Consider the following 19,205-nt stretch of genomic DNA (forward strand, 5'->3'; position numbering starts at 1 on the left):
TCTGGCTTCAAGCGATTCTCCTGCCCCAGCCTCCCAAGTAGCTGGGAGTACAGGCACGTGCCACCAGGCCCAGCTAATTTTTTTTTTTTGCATTTTTAGTAGAGACGGGGTTTCACCATGTTAGCCAGGATGGTCTCAATCTCCTGACCTCGTGATCCATCCACCTTGGCCTCCCAAAGTGCTAGGATTACAGGCATAAGCCACCACGCCCGGTCTGTTCTCTGAAGTCTTTACGGTTGTTGTTTCTATTATTGTTCCCAGCAAGAACTGGAACTGACCTGATGTCATGATCTATGAATATAATTTTTAATTAAGGAAGAAGTACCAGGAAATCTCATGTCACTATAGACCTGCTTCGCTGAATACCATTTAGCAGTCTATACTCCAGCCACCAGGCATATTGGTTGTGCAATGATGCCTCCACGATAACTAACAGTGAGGAGTAGAAGTTGGGCTTAGACACTCTGGCTCTTGCATAGGTCGAGGGGTATGTTGTGTTCTTGTAACAAATCCCACATATACATACATATGCATATTGTTCCACAAACATCCCCAAGCAGAAACCAGAGTTAGGGGCAGAATAACCTCAAGAAAATTTTGGTTGCTAGGCCATAGATGCGTCTTTCTGAGGCTGGTATTTTGACACTATGTGCTCCATTGTTTCTCATCTGCTGTATTGTGCTGCATCAATTGTTTCACCACATTATCACTAAAAACTTGGTCTCCCTAAAAACATTAACTTCTTAGGGCCTGTGTGCCAATGGGGCCTTTTGGACTTGACTTCAGCTTTTTGGAGGACAGAGTCCCTTTCCCCTTATAGTGCTGGGTTATTAGTGAATCAACCCTGAAGAGGTAAAGGGTTGGAGCCTCAGCCTCCCAAGAGGCTGTCACTGGAGAATGGTCTCACTGACCTCAGCCCTTGGGCATTTCCATAGCACATTTTCCCCCTAACCCCTCTACTCCTGCCAAATGCCTACCTAACTCTTATAATAGGAAAGCTGGGAACTCCACTCAAAACCATACAAAAAACCAGTTTGTACATTTGGACACCTCCCGAGCACTCACAGTCACTGTGTTTCTCTTTTCCAGCAGCAGACAGTCACTCTCATGCAGTTTAAGTGATTTATTGATGTCTCAGCTAAACTTGCTTTGGTTTCAGGACATTTCAGCCATCAAGGTTTTTAAGGAAGAGCATTCTGTACCAGAGGAGCCATGCTGCTTTCCTTGTGTTTGCTAATGTGTCCTTAGCCAGCCTCATTCTTCTTCAGCTTTTCTACTTTGGCAACATAGATCCTCATGGTGTCCATCTTAGACATCCCTTTGTTCACATTCCATGCCTCCTACTTGGCCTTGGCTTTCACATCTGAGGCTGAAGGGGCAGGGATGTTGCAGTCGCTCTGGGTGGGCTGTTTGCAGAAGCTGTACACCAGCAGTTTTCTCCTGATCGCACACAGTACCCTTCAGCTGCTTGAGGGCAGTGTGGGCCAGCTCAAACTCCACTTGGCACATTGTGGGAGGGGAGGCCAGGCCCCTCTGTCCTTTCTAGGTGACACCTGGTGCTAGAAGGCTCATCAGGTTTCTTCATCGATAGAGTAGGGATGATGATGATGATGTATCTTCCTCACTGAGTTTCATTGAGAATCCCTATGTAGGTACAGGGCTATGTGTGTTGTAGCACTGATCAAACTCTCAGTAGAGAGTGGTATAATTATAACTCCTTAACAAACATTTCAAGATACTAAGAAGAAAGTATAATACCAAGTTTTGGTTACACAGCCTTTTAATGAAGCAAAAACTTTTAGACATTAGCATTCCAAGCAAAGTTTATTCTAGCAATAAGACACAATGTGACAGCTAATATAAATTACTGTGGAAATTACCTCAGATCTGAGAAATCTGGAAAATAGTTGAAAAAGCTCATGGGTCTATTCCTAAAGGACAACCTGTGAACCTGTCAGTGCTAGGACAGATACTACCTAGCTGTTCCTGCCTATACCACTCTTCTTACTTTAGAGCTATGGTAGCCCCTTCATAATCCTTTCAGGTTCTAGCAGAGGAGGAATATCAATTTAATTAATATTCTCAGATTTACAACATCTGGGAAATAACAGCATTTATAAATCATGGACATTATCAAAGATCATTCATAATATATTCTTACTATCTAAACTTGGTTTTCTGTACATTTAACTTTTCTAGAGGTATGTGAAGTGGGGAAAATGGGTACTTTAAGAACTATGATTTGTTTAATTTTCACCTACATAACTGGCAAACATTTTCATTATTATTATCATTATGTAGAAAAACATAGATGTATCAATATCCATATTTTATCTTTAGTATCTCACAGGAAAGGTATTTTGGGTTAATGACTATTTACCCGGAAAATCTGGAGAAAATTCTGCAATCTTGACAAAACCCTATTTTTTTAAATACAATTTTTTCTCTAAAAATTAGTTAACTTTTGATTATCTGTGTGATAAAGAAGGTTGGGAATAGGAGAATGAAAATTTGCTGGTAACTCAGTTTGGCTTACATGTTATGCATTATTAAAATTTTTTCAGAGCAATAACAAAATGAAAAATCTAATTTGAGTTTCACCTTTTTTTGTCATACCCTCTGGTAGAGGTACAGATAAATGGGAAGTAGAAAGAAAAATTTGAAGTATAAAAGCCTTCAGTCTGATTAACTTTGAACTCTAAGATTTAATTATATAATGTAATTATTGTCTAATATTAAACAATGTTGATTATTATTATAGATGTCTATAATTTTTTTTTTTTTTTTTTTTGCAACGGAGTCTTACTTTGTCACCCAGGCTGGAGCGTAATGGTGCGACCTCAGCTCACTGCAGCCTCCGCCCTCCGGGTTCACGCCATTCTCCTGCTTCAGCCTCCCAAGTAGTTGGGACTACAGGTGCACGCCACCACGCCCGGCTAATTTTTTTTTTTTTTGTATTTTTAGTAGAGACGGGGTTTCACCATGTTGTCTAGGATGGTCTCCATCTCCTGACCTCGTGATTCGCCCGCCTTGGCCTCCCAAAGTGCTGGGATTACAGGCGTGAGCCACCGTGCCTGGCCTATAGATGTCTATAATTGTGAAATATCAGTTATCTGCTAAAGAATGGGTGTCAATAACTGTGAAGGGTATGAGATTTTACCCTACTTACTAGCTAACAAGTTACCACACTATAGTTTCATGGATGCTGTTAGAAGACATGAGACTCCTGAGTCAGAGACAAATGATAGTAACCAGGGTATCGGCATTTTTTTCTTTTCTTCATGGATTCTCTGAGCCCTATTCCTATAGAGCAATGTTAAGAGGGCTAGATGACACCTGCACACTCAATGGGCAGTGTAAAGGAGAGGCATTCTGAGTTTAAAGAACTCAAATCTCATATAAAAGTTGATAAGCATGCCTGCCCCTTTCTCCAGAGGGAAACAGTATCTGTGTTCTAAGGGGCAGTCAGGGCAAATTACTCATAGCAGTAATTCGAGAGAACCATGGAGAATTGTCTTCTAACAATGGATCTGGGCTGAAAAATTTGCATAATAAATACTGTATTTGTAATGTAAATTAATAATGTAAACAAGAGCAGAAGAGGACTTTCTTTCTTTCTTTTCTTTCTTTTTTTTTTTTTTTTTTTTTGGAGACAGGGTCACTCTCTGTTGCCCAGGTTAGAGTGCAGTGGCGCGATCACAGCTCACTGTAGCCTTGAACTCCTGGGCTCAAGCAATTCTTCTGCCTCAGCTTCACAAGCATGTACCACCATGCCTGGCTAATTTTTAAAATTTTTTCTAGAGACAGCGTTTCACTATGTTGCACAGGCTAGTCTTGAACTCCTGGGCTCAAGTGATCCTTCAGCCTTGGCCTCCTAAAGCACTGGGACTACAGGCATGAGCACTATGCCTGCCCCCTACTGCCCCTTTTTTAAAGTACCTGGGAGAACAAAGTTTAAATATTCTATTTTTGTAGCACCTAATTAACATACAATTTAAGACACTTTCAAAATTTTACATTATTGAAAATAAGTAGGTTGAAGACTTTTACTTACGATCACTTTGCTGTTATGCTGCATGTTTTTGAAATAATAAAACTTTATTTTGAAAACAAACACTCAACTCAAAACTCTTAACTAATTTATATGATTCATACTGTCTCTTGTTAAAAATCCACACGGGGGATTTTAAGTCTGTATCAGGCCATGAAAAGTTTAGATATGAAGAAGGCAGTTTTCTTTTTTTCTTAATGTTTACACCAGACCAAAGTGAATCATTTTGAGAGAACCACCATCTCTGATTTCCTGCAAATAAACAAATAAAAATAATGTTTAAGCAGAGTAAAAAGTAATTGACTTAACATTTGTATCTTTATTATTTTTAAGTACTGAAAAATAGTGAAACAAAATAAAATAGTTTAAAATGTACTGCACATAGATACATAAGATAACTGTATACTTACCTGACTTGGTCATCAAAATTTTGATACGATATTTATAAAAACTAGTCAAGAAATAATAAGCATTAAAAGGCAAAGAAAGGACAGGATGTTAATTGAAATTTAGAAGCATCTGAGGGTTCCTCCAATGAAAAATTGCAAACTGTGGGTCATCATTTGGATTCTACAGTGTGATTTTAAAATACTGTGTGTTCTAAAAGGTATTATATAGCATATATTTCCTAATTTTGGTGTTTTACTGAGTATTTGATAATGGCTATTGAGATAATAGTTTATAAAATAGAAAAGATTGTGGTTTTATAAGACTTTCATAACATTTTATGAAGCTGCAAAGAAATATTAACAACTTCATCTATTTCCCATTTGTTATTCTTTCTTTTGCACCTTCTGCCCATCCCTGTCAGTTACAGAAAAACAGAAGATCTTATGGGCTTCTGAAGTTGGATGATGTGTGAAGATAAGACTAAAGATGAGTGATATTATGTGAAAAATAATACAGTGGGGACAGTTTTTAAAATTTGAAGATAACCTACTTAGAGTTGAAATGGTAAAAGTAAAAGGTAAAGAGAGTAGGGATAACAGCACTTACACTATCATGTCATAATTGGAGACATTTTACTTAAAGTATAGGTGAAAGTAATTTTAAAAAATAAATTTAAAGTTATTCTGTAAGTTATATCTTAAAAGTTATTTTTACTAAGAAAAGCCTTTCAGAAAGTCTGCATTTATACTATTTTAAGTAGTCACATATCAAAGGAAACAGATATGCGGCTAAAAAATAAGGGCAACACATGTATGTAGGTATGTGCCTGTAGACCTTGATGTACACAAAATTGAAAAAAAAAAAAAAACCTGGAAAAACAGGTAGCAAGAAGAATGCGTAATTTAATAGTGCCTGAGGCTTGAGTGTGTGCTGGCAAGTTCCAGGCTTTTAGGTAGCTTTCAATTTAAAAAGAAAACTAAGCACTGTCATTTTTTAAAACATAAGCTTCAACTCTTGGCTTATAAACTACCATACCAAAGTCTAGTTTCTATACCACGAGAATGGTCATTGAGAAAATGAGTTAGGTTTTGGCCTTGTTCATCAACTGGCAGAGATCCTAGGTAAATTATTTTATTTTCTTAATATCTAGATATACTTGTTGCTAGAAGGCTGATGGCATACCTAAGAACTATCGTGTCGTTCAGCCATGTTGCTGTTGTTATGTAGTGTCTTCTATCCATGATTTAATCCTCTCTTACCTTAGGAATTACATTTTAAAAAGTAAGAATCATAGAATTAACTTCTCAAGATCTTCCAGGATTTAAAAAAACAAAACAAAAAATATTCCTTTGGGGGATTTTCTTTAAAATCCATTGCATTTTAAAAAGACTTCAGGGCATTTCCAAGGTTTCCATTGCTATATAACCTTGACTTATACTCTACGTACCTTAGACGGATATTTTGAAGATTTATAAAATAATTTATTTTACATTCAAGTTTTTAAACATTATTTGAAGTAAAACATAATCATTAAATAAAATTTGGAAAACAGGAAACTATGAAAATTTACCCATAGTCCTACTAGTTATACAAAACTAAAGTTAACATGAATTTGCTTCTAGTCTCTTTTTCTCCACGTTTTATTTATTTATTTTAAACACAGCTTGAATTATATTGTGTATATATATATATAATTCTGTATCTTTTCTTTTCTTTTTTTTTTTGGCCTTATAACACTTCAAAACTTTTTAATGTTCCTACATAGTCTGTTTTTAATGGCTGAATTTTATTATTCCATTAAATACTATAGCTTTATTTAACCACTCCTTTTTTGGTTAAATTTATATTGTTTCCAATTTCTTCTTTTTCATAAATAACCCTATGATAGATAGGCATGAAGTTTTTTTTTTTTTTTCTGTTTGTAGGATTATTTCCTTGGTATAGAACTGTAGAAATAGAATTATTGGACCAAAAGCTATGAAATTTTAAGCTTCTGGATAAACACTGTAGAATTGGTAGTTTTGCTTTGTTTGTTTCCTAGTTTGGGAGGAGGTGATTTTGTTCAATAATAGGAAGTTGTGGTTCCAAGGAAGACTGATCTTCATTTTTTTTTTTAATGTGTTGAAATTGTGCTCAGCCTTGACTGAATGAAACTACGTGTTAATTCTTGTAGTAATTTTACAGCAACGAAAGGGTTTTCCCCAGTCCCTCATTGCTTTCTACATGTGGTTAAGTGCATTTTCTGAGCCACACCCTTTTGCTGTTACCTAATATTGGGTGATATCAGGTCACTTTCCTTTAAATGTACACAGACTTTTGTAAGTAAATTCAGCAGACAAGTTAAGCTTTGCTTTGCTATAAACTGGATTTTGACCTGTGGCTCACTTAATGCAGATTTTTAAATTTTAATACAGTAAGTGATCATCTCAGTTTATTATGTTAGGTTTCCTCTGTGTTACTAACAGTCTGTCTTGAAGTTTCTGATTTGGTTTAATAATAATTAAATCCCAGAAGTATAATATTTTAGACATGGAAGAAATCTTAAAACTCCCTAATCTGAAATTGTTTTATTTTATAGATGAACAAGTTGAGGCTCATATGGGTTAAGTGTTTTGTCCAAAGTCAGTTAGTGGCAGAGTTGGGATTATAATTTTGTTCGTATTTCTCTGTAAAGGGTTTTTTTTTTTCCACTATAGTTTTTTAATGTACTAACAATACTTGTTCCACAGGCTGCTTTATGATTAACTTCTCTGATTCCCTATTCCTCTCATTTAAGGCTTTTGCTTATAAGCATGCTAGCTAGTGGTCCACCCTATGTGGCAGGAGACGCTTTTCTGAGTAAGTTGACCAGCTATTCAAGTTTCACTACTGAACATTGTGAAATTGAACTCTGCTTCTTGCATATTTGGTATCATATATAGGTTTCTTTTTCATCAACATGGCAGAGTTTGGTACTTGACATTTTTTGTAGAAAATGCAGTCTCAAACTGACTGTAGTCTAGCACTTGCCAAAGGTTGGCTTGAGGCTTCTGGTACATACGAGAGACAAGTTTTATAGATAAGCTAACTAACTTTCTAACTTCTGTGTTAAGTAAGCCATCAGAAAGGAGTGTACTTAGAACTTGTCATTTCACCTTTCCACAGGAATGCCTTTAGTGAATTATGATTTAAGTATTTTACCTTATAAAGAGGAGTTATAATAAGAAACATCTATGTGACTAGAATGTCTATCCTTTTCAAAACTCTAAGACATGTTTAGTTTGTTTTTCAGTTAAAAATTTAGAGATTGGGTCTTGCTAGGTTCTCCATGCTGGCCTAAAACTCCTGGGCTCAAGCACTTCCCCTACCTCAGCCTCCAAAGGAGCTGGGACTGTAGGGATACACTACCACACCCAGCTTGCTTTTCAGTTTTTTTTGTTTTGTTTTTTAATAAGACGGTGTCTTGCTCTGTTGCCCAGGCTGGAGTGCAGTGGCGTGATCTCGGCTCACTGCAACCTCCGCTTCCCGGGTTCAAGCAGTTCTCCCTGCCTCAGCCTTCTGAGTAGCTGAGACTACAGGCGCACGTCACCACATCTGGCTAATTTTTTTGTATTTTTAGTAGAGATGGGGTTTTCCCGTGTTGGCCGGGCTGGTCTTGAACTCTTGACCTCAGGCAATCTCCCCACCTTGGCCTCCCAAAGTGCTGGGATTACAGGCGTGAGCCACCTCGCCAGGCTGCTTTTCAGTTTTTTTTTACACAAGCTTTTTTTTTTTTTTTTGAGATAAGGTCTCACTCTGTCACCCAGGCTGGAGTGTAGTGGTACAATCAAGGCTCAATGCAGCCTTGACCTCCGAGGCTCAGGTGATTTTCCCACCCTAGCCTCCCAAGTAGCTGGGACTACAGGCATGCACCACCACACCAGGCTATTTTTGTATTTTTTGTAGAGACAGGGTTTCACCATTTTGGCCAGGCTGGTCTTGAACTCCTGGCCTCAAGTGATCCGCCTGCCTTGACCTCCCAAAGTGCTGGGATTACAGGTGTAAGCCAATGCACCTGGGCTGCACAAACATTCTTGAGTGTGAATATAGAATGCTGAAAAAGTGTTTCCATCTAGATAAATTTACTATTTGCATGTGTTAAAAAATTAATAAAAACAATAATCATGAACCATGTTTTAGAACAGAATGGTTTTCCATTACCTAATTTGACAGATTAATCATGTAATATTACTAAATTAAACATAACCATTCTCATTTTACAGATGAAGAAACAGGTATAGAGGTGTGTAGCAGTGAGGAGGTAGTGGAACAAAATTAGACTGAGACAGTTTGCTTATAATACTGCATTCTTTCTGTTATACCATGATGCTTCTCAAAGTAAACCTATTTCACTTTTTTGCCTTTGCCTTCCCAAATTCAGAGCTAAACACAGTTTTAACTTGTATAAAACAGCCCGATATTCAACATCACATAACTGTGCAACTTGTTTTGTGTTTTTTTTTTTTTTTTTTTTTTTGAGATAGGGTTGTGCTCTGTTGCCCAGGCTGGAGAACAGTGGCACAATTATAGCTCACAGCAAAAGTACAGCTCAAACTTTCGGGCTCAGGTGATCTTGCCTCAGCCTCCCAAGTAGCTGGGACTACAGGTGTGCACCACTGTGCCTGGATAATTTTTTTAAACTTTTATTTTTGTAGAGACAAGGTCTTGCTATGTTGCCTAAGCTAGTCTCAAACTACTGGGCTCTAGCGAACTTTTTGCCTTAGCCTCCCAAATCACTAGGATTACAGGCGTAAGTCACCATGCCTGGCCTGCAACTTTTAATTGACTTTTGCTGTGTATATAATTTATTTTAGATATGATATATAAAATACTTTAGTGAAATGCCCCAAATCTTTCAGAAAGTAAATAGATCATAAATGCTGAGATAAAGTATGTTGACATATTTAACTTTTTTTTTTTTTTTTTTTGAGATGGAGTCTCGCTCTGTCACTAGACTGGAGTGCAGTAGCACAATCTTGGCTCACTGCAGTCTCCGCCTCCAAGGTTCAAGCAATTCTCCTGCCTCAGCCTCCCGAGTAGCTGAGACTACAGGCATGAGCCGCCATACCCAGCTAATTTTTTTTGTATTTTTAGTAGAGACGGGGTTTCACCATGTTGGCCAGGATGGTCTTGATCTCCTGACCTCGTGATCTGCCCGCCTCGGCCTCCCAAAGTGCTGGGATTACAAGCGTGAGCCACCGCACCCGGCCTGAAAATATTTTTTAAAAATCAATTTTTAGAGGAAAGAATGAGAATAGTTTATCAATTACTCCATCTCAACCAATACTTGAAGATACTGTATTCCATCAAGTAAATTGATAAACTTATGATAGAAGTAGTAGCAAACACAAAAATTGCTACTTTATCATTTTTAGAGGTTATACACTTATACTTCAAGATGCTCTATTAATGTAATTGTCAACATGTAAATACCGTGTATGTGTATGTGCATATATATATATATATATATATATATATATATACGCACACACACACATATATATATGCACACACTCCCTATTCTATATGTATTACTCCCCTCTTTGGGTGATAGTAAAAACAGGAAGTGCAGCAGGTTGCTATATCTACCATAATTCCACATTAAAAGAATGGGTTTCTGCCATTTCTAAATACAAGATTTCTGTGGCCTGGCATGGTGGCTCACGACTGTAATCCCAGCACTTGGGAGGTCAAGGCGGCTGGATCACTTCAGGTCAGAAGTTCAAGACCAGCCTGGCCAACATGGTGAAACCCTGTCTCTTCTAAAAATAAACAAATTAGCCGGGTGTGGTAGCGTGCTTCTGTAATCCCAGCTACTCTGGAGGCTGAGGCAGGAGAATCACTTGAACCCGGGAGGCGGAGGTTGCAGTGAGCTGAGATCACACCTCTGCACTCCAGCCTGGGTGACAGAATGATACTCCACCTCAAAAAAAATTAATAAATAAATATAAGATTTCTTTCAGACAGTATGCCAATGAATAGTACAAACAAGACAATGTAGATAGGTAACTACATGATTTATTACCCTTGACTATGAGCAAAGTCAGTGGGAGGAAACAAGAGGTTTGCCCCATACCTAGAAACTCACTCAAACATGTAGCCCCAAGATAACCTCTAAATTTACCTATTAAAGTTTAAAAGATAATTAAAACTTTTTCCTTCCGTTTCTGTCTTTACCACAAATTTTTTCCAGAATGTTCCCAAGAGGTAACTAGATCACTAGTGGTTTCATTTCTTTCCTTTCCCTTTCCTTTATTTTTTATTGTGGTAAAATATATTTAACATAAAATTTACCACTTTATTTTTAAGTGTATACTTTAGTGGGATTAGGCACATTCACATCATCATGTAACCATCACCGCTCTCCATCTCCAGAACTTTTTAATCATTCAACTGAAATTCTGTACTCAATAAATAACAATTTCCCATTTCATACTTCCTTAAGCCTCTGATAACCACTGTTCTACTTATTTGAGATGGAATTTTGCTCTTGTTGCCCAGGCCGGAGTGCAGTGGCGCAATCTTGACTCACCACAACCTCCGCCTCCTGGGTTCAAGCGATTCTCCTGCCTCAACCTCTCGAGTAGCTGGGATTACAGGCATGTGCCACCATGCCCTGCTAATTTTGTATTTTTATTAGAGATGGGGTTTCTCCGTGTTGGTCAGGCTGGTCTTGAACTCCTGACCTCAGGTGATCCACCCACCTTGGCCTCTGAAAGTGCTGGGATTACAGGCGTGAGCCACTGTGCACGGTGTTCTACTTTGTGTCTCTAAGAATTTGACTATTCCAGGTACTTCATATAAGTGGAGTAATGCAATATTTGTCCTTTTGAGCCTCATTTCACTTAGCGTAATGTCTGCAAAGTTCATCCATGCTGTAGCAGGTATCAGAACTTCATTCCCTTTTTAGGGCTGAATAATATTTCATTATATGTATATACCACCTTTTGTTTATTCATTAATCTGTCAGTGGCCATTTTGGTTGTTTCCACCTTTTGGGTATTGTGACTAATGTTGCTATGAACACAGGTGTGAAAATATCTGTTCTTGTCCTTGCTTTCAATTCTTTGGGGTGTATACCAGAAGTAAAATTGCTGGATCATATAATGGTTTTATGTTTAATTTTTTGAGGAACTACCATACTGTTTTCCACAGGGGCAACACCATTTTATATTCCCACTGGCAATGTACAATTGTTCTAGTTTCTCCACATCCTTATCAACACTTTTTGCTTTCTGTTTTTTGATAATGGCCATCTTATTGCTTCTCAGCCTTTTGGCTAAAATCAAATAATAGCCATTCCAATGTATGTAGTTTCTCGTTGTGGTTTGATCTGCATTTTTCTAACAATTAGTGATGTTGAACATCATTTCATGTACTTTTTGTCCATTTGTATATCTTGGAAGTTCTTTGCACATTACATTTTTTTATTGGGTTGTAGTTCTTCTATATTCTGGTTATTTGTCACTTATTATATATGTGATTTGCAAATACAGTTGTCGCTCAGTATTTGTGGGGATTGATTCCAGGACCCCCTAGAGATACTAAAATCTGCAGATGCTTGTGTCCCTGATATTAAATGCGTAGTATCTGCATATAATCTATACATATCCTCACATATATTTTAAATAATCTCTGCATTACTTATAATACCTAATACAATGTAATTATTATGTAAATCATTGTTATACTGTATTATTTAGGGAATAATTTACAAGAAAAAAAGTCTGTACATGTTTAGGACAGATGGTTTTTTTCCCAATGTTTTCAATCTCTTGTTGGTGGAATCCACAGATGAGGAACTCATGGATACAGAGGGCCAACTGTATTTTCTCCTGTTGTGTGGGTTGCCTTTTTACTCTGTTGATAGTATCCTTTGATGGACAAACAATAATTTTAGTGAAGTCTAGTTTATCTGTTTTTTTGTTGTTGTTTTTATTGCCTGTACTTTTGGTGTCTTACCTGTGAAATCGTTGCCAAATTCAATGCTACATTTTCTCCTACGTTTTCTCCAAGAGAATTATAGTTTTAGGCCTGTGTATAGATCTTTGATACATTTTGAGTTGATTTTTGTATATGGTGTAAGGTAAGAGTCTAACTTCATACTTTTGCATATGGACATCCTGTTTTCCCAGCAATATTTGATGAAAAGACTGTCTTTTCCCCCATTAAATGGTCTTGGCACCCTTGTCAGAAATCATTTATCCACATACACAAAGGTTTTATTTAGGTTCTCGATTCTGTTCCATGGTTCTATATGTCTGTCTTTATGCTAGCACCATATTTTGATTACTGTAGCTTTGTAGTAAATTTTGAAGTCAGAAAGTGTGAGTTCTTCAACTTTATTGTTTGTTTTCAAGATTGTTTTGGCTTTTCAAGGTCCCTTGATTTTCCATATTAATTTAAGGATGAGTATTTTTTTTTTCTATTTCTGCAAAGATATATTGAGATTTTGATAGGAATTGAGTGGAGAGTTCTGTATGTGTCTGTTCCATCCAGTTGGTCTGTAGTGTTTTTCAAGTCTTCTGTTGTCCTTATTGATCTTCTGTCTGGTTGTCCTATCGATTATTGAAAGCAGGTTATTGAAGTCTCCTAATATTACTGCATTGCTGTCTATTTCTTTCTTCAATTATGTTAATGTTTGCTTCATATATTTAAGAGTTCTGATGTTTGGTACATACATATTTATAATAATTATATCTTGGTGAATTGACTCTTTAATCATGTATTATCCTTCCTAGTCTCTTGTGATGATTTTTCATTGAAAGTCTATTTTATCTGATACCATTATAGGTACCCCTGCTCTCCTGTGGTAACTAGTTACATGAAATATTTTTTCCATCCTTTCCATTTCAGCTTATGTGTTGAATCTAAAATGAGTCTCTTGTGTGCAGCAGAGTGTTAGAGTTTTTAAAAAAATCCATTCAGTCAATATGTCTTTTGACTAGTAGTTGGATTATTCATATTTAAAGTAATTATTGATATGGAAGGATTTACTATTGCTGGTTTGTCACCTGTTTTCTGTATGTCTTGTGGCTTTTTGGTTCCTCATTTCTTTTCTTACTGCCCTCCCTTTGTAATCCATTGATTTTTTTTTATAGTGACATACTTTGATTCCCTTTTCATTTCCTTTTGTGTGCACTATATAGATATTTTTCTTGGTGGCTAGCATTGTGATTACGTAACACATTTCAAATTTATGCAATTTATGTTACACTGATAACAACTAATCTTCATTAGCATACAAAAATTCTCCTTTACAGTTCCTCCTTTTTTTATTGTTAAAACTTACATTTATATATTGTGTACTTATTAACTTAGATTTATAGATTTTTTGTGTGAGTAATTTTATAGATTCTATACAAGAATTAAAAGTGGATTTGTGCACCAGAATTACAATAACACAGGATTCTATAGTTGCCCATATGTTTACCTTTAATGGAGAACATTATACTTTCATGTGACTTTGTATAGCTGTCTAGTATCTTTTTGCTTCAATTTGAAGGACCCTCTTTAGCATTTCTTGTAGGGAACATCTAGTGGTGTTGACTATACATCTTTTATCTGGGAATGTCATCATTTCTTCACATTTGAAGGACAGTTTTGCTAGATACAGTATTCTTTTTTTTTTTTTTTTTTTTGAGATGGGGTCTCGCTCTGTCTCCCAGGTTGGAGTACAGTGGTGCGATCTCAGCTCACTGCAACCTCCACCTCCCAGGTTCCGCTATTCTCCTGTCTTAGCCTCCTGAGTAGCTGGGATTACAGGCGTGTGCCACCATGCCTGGCTAATATTTTGTATTTTTAGTAGAGATGGGGTTTCAACATGTTGGCCAGGCTGGTCTTGAACTCCTGATCTCAAGTGGTCTGCCTGCCTCGGCCTCCCAAAGTGCTAGGATTACAAGTGTGAGCCATCACACCCGGCCCAGTTGATGTTTTTGAATATACTTTCCCATTCCTTTTTAGCCTGCAAGATTCATACTGAGAACTTTGCTGATAATCTTATTAGGCTCCCTTGTATGTGATGAGTCATTTTTCTCTTGTAGCTCTCAAGATTATCTCTTTGTCTTTGACTTTCAGCAGTTTGATTGTAATGTGTCTTGTTGTATGTCTCTTTGGGTTTATTATACTTAGAATTTGTTGAACTTCTTGAGTTTATATGTCTATTTCTATCCTCAGATTGGGTAAGTTTTTGGCCATTATATTTCAAATAAGTTCCCTACCTTTTTCTTATTGTCTTCTCCTTCTGGGATCTTCATAATGGATATATTGTCCTGCTTGATAGTGTCTCTTAAGCTCTGTTCACTTTTTTATTCTTTTGTTCTTTTTGTACCTCATACTAGATAATTTCAAATAAGTTATCTTTAAGCTTGTTTATTCTTTCTTCTGTCCAAGTCTGCTATTGAATCCCTCTAGTGAATTTTTAAGTTTGACTATCCCCAGTGTGCCCATTATATTTTTCATTTCCAGAATTTCTGGTTGGTTCTTTTAATAATGTCTATCTCTGTTGAAATTCCCCTTTGTTCATATAATTTACCTGATTTCCTTTAGGTCTCTGTCCATGTTGTTCTTTACTGTTTGAACATATTTAAAACATTGTTTGAAAATCTTTTTCTAGTAAGTCTGATACCTGTATTTTTTCAGGGATAGTTTCTGCCAATTTATTATTATTATTGAATGGTCCATGTTTCCGTTTCTTTTTATGCATTGTGATTTTGGGATTTTAAATTCACAATAGTTATGTTGGGGATTTGAAAACAAAAAGAAAAACAGCTACTTCTCCCATTCTCTGTAGACTGGCTCTTTGCCATGGAAGTCCTTTCCTAATTATCTTGGCCTTGCTTCTGAATTTTGAGATCACATCAAAGAGAAAGCTAAAGGTCTTCTCAGGTCTTTACTGAGCATGCATCTTGCCTGGACCTGTTTGTGGTTTTTTGAATCTCTGTATAGATGGCTGCTTTTAATTGTCTTAAATTTCCCAAGAGATCTTTGTGGGGTCTTGATGGTCTGTCATATGTCTCCACCTATAATCTTTTGCCCCAGGAATCTGTAGGGTCTCTCTGCAGCTTTCTGAGCCATGACTACTGCTTCTCCTCATCTGAGATTAAGGCCATGCTTGTCTCCTAGCAGAGATCTGAGTTAGGTGAATCAGGGATCAATTCTTCAGGCAGCCTTTAGACAAGTTAGAATGTTGCAAATAAGGTCAGCCTTGTTCGTTTTGGTTCAAGGGATGGTGATATGATTTGGCTGTGTGTCCCCACCCAAATCTCACCTTGAATTGTAATAATTCCCACGTGTCAAGGGTGGGACCAGGTGGAGGTAACTGAATCATGGGGGCAGTTTTCCCCATGCCGTTCTTATGATAGTGAAGAGTTCTCACAAGATTTGATGGTTTTATAAGCGTCTGGCATTTCTCCTGCTGGCATTCACTCTGTCCTGTCTGCTTCTCCTTTGCCTTTTGCCATGATTATAAGGTTCCTGAGGTCTCCTCAGCTATGCAGAACTGTGAGTCAACTAAACTTCTTTCCTTTATAAATTACCCAGTCTTAGATATTTATCCATAGCAGCATGAGAATGGACTAATACAGGTGGAATTAGGAACTGCCATCTCCTCCAAACCAAGACAACGGCTGGGGAGGAGTGGAACAAGGGTGAGCAAAAATGCCATGACATGTCCTACTGTTCGGGATGTAGCTTGTTCTTGATTGTTTACTTGGTTTCTGTAGACCTTTGACTGTTTTCCAGAGTTCCTATAAAGTTATTTAGTCACTGTATAGTTGTTTCTTTAATGTTTATTAAGGAGAATGAGGGTCTGAAGCTTCTTAGTCACATTTTGCTGATGTCATTCTTCCTAGGGGTTTTCTAATCGTTGTTTCCTCTGGTTGTATGTGGTTTCCTTACTGCATGGGAAGGGGACTCCATTGTCAATACAACCCTGAATAATATATGCAGTGTGAGAACTTTAGTGAAATTCTAATCCCACCTGGTCAAATCCTTGTTATTTTGCCCACCCCACTTCTGTGGTTATAGAATGTAATTTCTCTGTAGTATCTCTCTTTCCCAGTTTTATTTTATTTTTCCTCCAAAATTCACATTTTATTTCTATGATTTAACTCATATCCTTTCCTGCTCCAATATAATAGATCACAATTATGATCAATAATACCCACTCGGCATGTAAATAAAGGAAATAAAAATTAAATTCTGGCTAAGTTTCACAGAATGCCAGAAAAGTATTTAGTAAATTTATATATATGCATACACAAACACCCACACAGACATACACATACATGTACACATATTGTTTTCATAGAATGCTGTGTTTTCAAAGGTTTTAGATACTTGGCTTATACTATGAGCACTTTGAACACTGGTGTTTTTAATATGAAATTCTGAGAACATTTTGTTCTTGGTATCAAATATGAAACTTGTAAAATTCACATATGCAAATTGCTTCATTTATTAGTGACCTCTGATGGCTTCTGATTAAGTCAATATTGTGTCCATCTTTGAAGTATGTATTTAAAAAATTATGAATTTCCTTATTTTTTCTTCATTGTGGCTGAGTATAGGGAAATTGCTGTGTATCTCAGTTAAGGTCCATTTAAATGTGTTTTTCAAAGCTCAAGATTGGGGGGCGCTGTGGCTCACACCTGTAACCCCAGCACTTTGGGAGGCCAATGCAGGTGGATTGCTTGAACTCAGGAGGTTGAGACTAGCCTGGGCAACAAGGTGAAACCCTGTCTCTACAAAAAATACAAAAATTAGCCAGGTGTGGTGGCACGGGCCTGTAGTGCTAGCTACCTGGGAGGCTCAGGTGGGAGGATCACTTAAAGCCATGAGGTAGAAGTTGCAGTGAGCTGAGATCGCACCACTGCACTCCAGCCTGGGCAACAGAGCCAGACCCTGTCTCAAATAAAAGAAAACAAAAAGCTCTGGATAAAGTGTGCAAAAATCTTAAAATGGACCACATCCATCAGAGAATAGTCTACTAAATTCAGGGCACGTGATGTTTTTAAGATCTCAGTGAACGTGTTCATAAACTTTAAGGAGGAATTAGCCAAGCACTGTCAGAACATATTTTTGTTTTCACAAAGGCTAATATAATTGTTCTTCAAATGTCGTTATTTCTTTTATTTTGAGATGCAGTCTTGCTCTATTGTCCAGGCTGGAGTGCAGTGGCGCGATCTTGGCTCACTGCCACCTCGGCCTCCCGGATTCAAGCGATTCTCCTGCCTCAGCCTTCCGAGGAGCTGGGATTACAGGCATGCGTCACCACGCCCAGCTAATTTTTGCATTTTTAGGAGAGACAGCGTTTCACCATGTTGGCCAGGCTGATCTTGAACTCCTAACCTCAGGTGATCCATCCACCTCAGCCTCCCAGCGTTAGGATTATAGGCATGTGCCACTGTGCCCAGCCAAATGTTATTATTTCAAGTTAATAAAATTCTCATAATTATGGCAACATAATCCTCTCTTTATGTTTTTCCACAAAAGAGAATATGAACAAGGAAATTAAGTTTTTTTGTTTGTTTGTTTTGAGACAGGGTCTCACTCTGTCATCCAGGCTGGAGTGCAGAGGTGTGATTATGGCCTACTGCAGCCTCTAACTCCTGGGCTCAGGCAATGCTCCTGCCTCAGCCTTCTGAGTAGCTGGGACTACAGGCACGTGTACCGTGTCTGGCTAATTAAAAAAAATTTTTTTTTAGAGATGGGGTCCTGCTATGTTGCCCAGGCTGGTTCAAACTCCAGGCCTTAAGTAATCCTTCCACCTTGGCCTCCCAAAGTGCTAGGATTACAGGTGTGAGCCACTGCACTGAACAAGGAAATCTGAGGGACATACTTTTTCTTGAGAAGTGAACAGGCAGTAATGTATTCTATTAAAGATGTAGCCATTGTAGTACCAAAGGTTTAGTAAACTAATTCAAAGTGTCAGAGAACTTTATACTTGAATTACTCTCTCTCTCTCTATATATATTCCCCAGAGGACTTTTACCCAAACAGTTTTCTTAGAATTAAAGTTTATAATCTCATGAAGCCTAGAGCTAGGTAATGGTTAAAATAAGTAGTGATTTTAAAAATAGTTCATTGCTTACTTTAATTGTAAACTAACTTCAGGTCTGAGCAGAATATGAAATTTAAGAAAATTATTTGGGAAAAAAGCCCTGCAGGGATTGATGGAGAGAGTGAGAGAGAGGAAGAGAAAGAGACAATCTATTATAATATGGGTATAATAAAATATATAATGTATTATCTATTATATACAGACACATAATAGAACACTTAAGATGGGTGCATTTTACGGGGGAGGGAAAGGAGTATAAACAAATATTCTTTTTTTTAACTTTTCGGTTCAGGAATACATGTGTAGGTTTGTAACATAGGTAAACTTGTGTAGTGGGGATTTGAGGTTTTTTGTGCATATTATTTCATCATCCAGGTATTAAGCCTAGTACCCATTAGTTATTTTTACTGATCCTCTCCCTTCTCCCACCCTCCACCCTCCAGTACCCTCCAATAGGCCTCATGGTCTGTTGTTTCCCTCTATGTGTCCATGTGTTCTCATCATTTAGCTCCCACTTGTAAGTGAGAACATGCAAAATTTGATTTTCTGTTCCTGTATTAGTTTGCTAAGGATATGGCTTCCAGCTCCATCCATGTCCCTGAATGGGACATGATCTTGTTCTTTTTCATGGCTGTATAGTATTCCATGGTATATATGTACCACATTTTCTTTATCCTGTCTATT

The 19,205-nt window shown here is 37.4% G+C and overlaps 1 protein-coding gene and 1 pseudogene across 16 annotated transcripts in view; both read right to left on the bottom strand.

Moving 5' to 3' along the window:
• DBIL5P2 (diazepam binding inhibitor-like 5 pseudogene 2) lies at positions 98–1,789 on the bottom strand (annotated as a pseudogene). Its single transcript, NR_036635.2, has one exon. The product of NR_036635.2 is annotated as a diazepam binding inhibitor-like 5 pseudogene 2 (transcript).
• WDPCP (WD repeat containing planar cell polarity effector) overlaps positions 1,806–19,205 on the bottom strand; it is a 721,268-nt gene continuing 703,868 nt past the window's right edge. For all 15 annotated transcript variants that reach the window (NR_148705.2, NR_148704.2, NR_122106.2 and 12 more), the window contains one exon: positions 1,806–4,303. Coding sequence is in view for 12 of the 15 variants with exons in the window: in XM_047444629.1 (XP_047300585.1) it covers positions 4,068–4,303 (236 nt within the window). In the remaining 3 variants the exon portion in view is untranslated. The remainder of the gene's footprint in view (positions 4,304–19,205) is intronic.

The sequence above is a fragment of the Homo sapiens genome, chromosome 2 (genome assembly GCF_000001405.40).
Source record: "Homo sapiens chromosome 2, GRCh38.p14 Primary Assembly".
In the NCBI taxonomy this organism is placed as follows: Eukaryota; Metazoa; Chordata; class Mammalia; order Primates; family Hominidae; genus Homo; species Homo sapiens.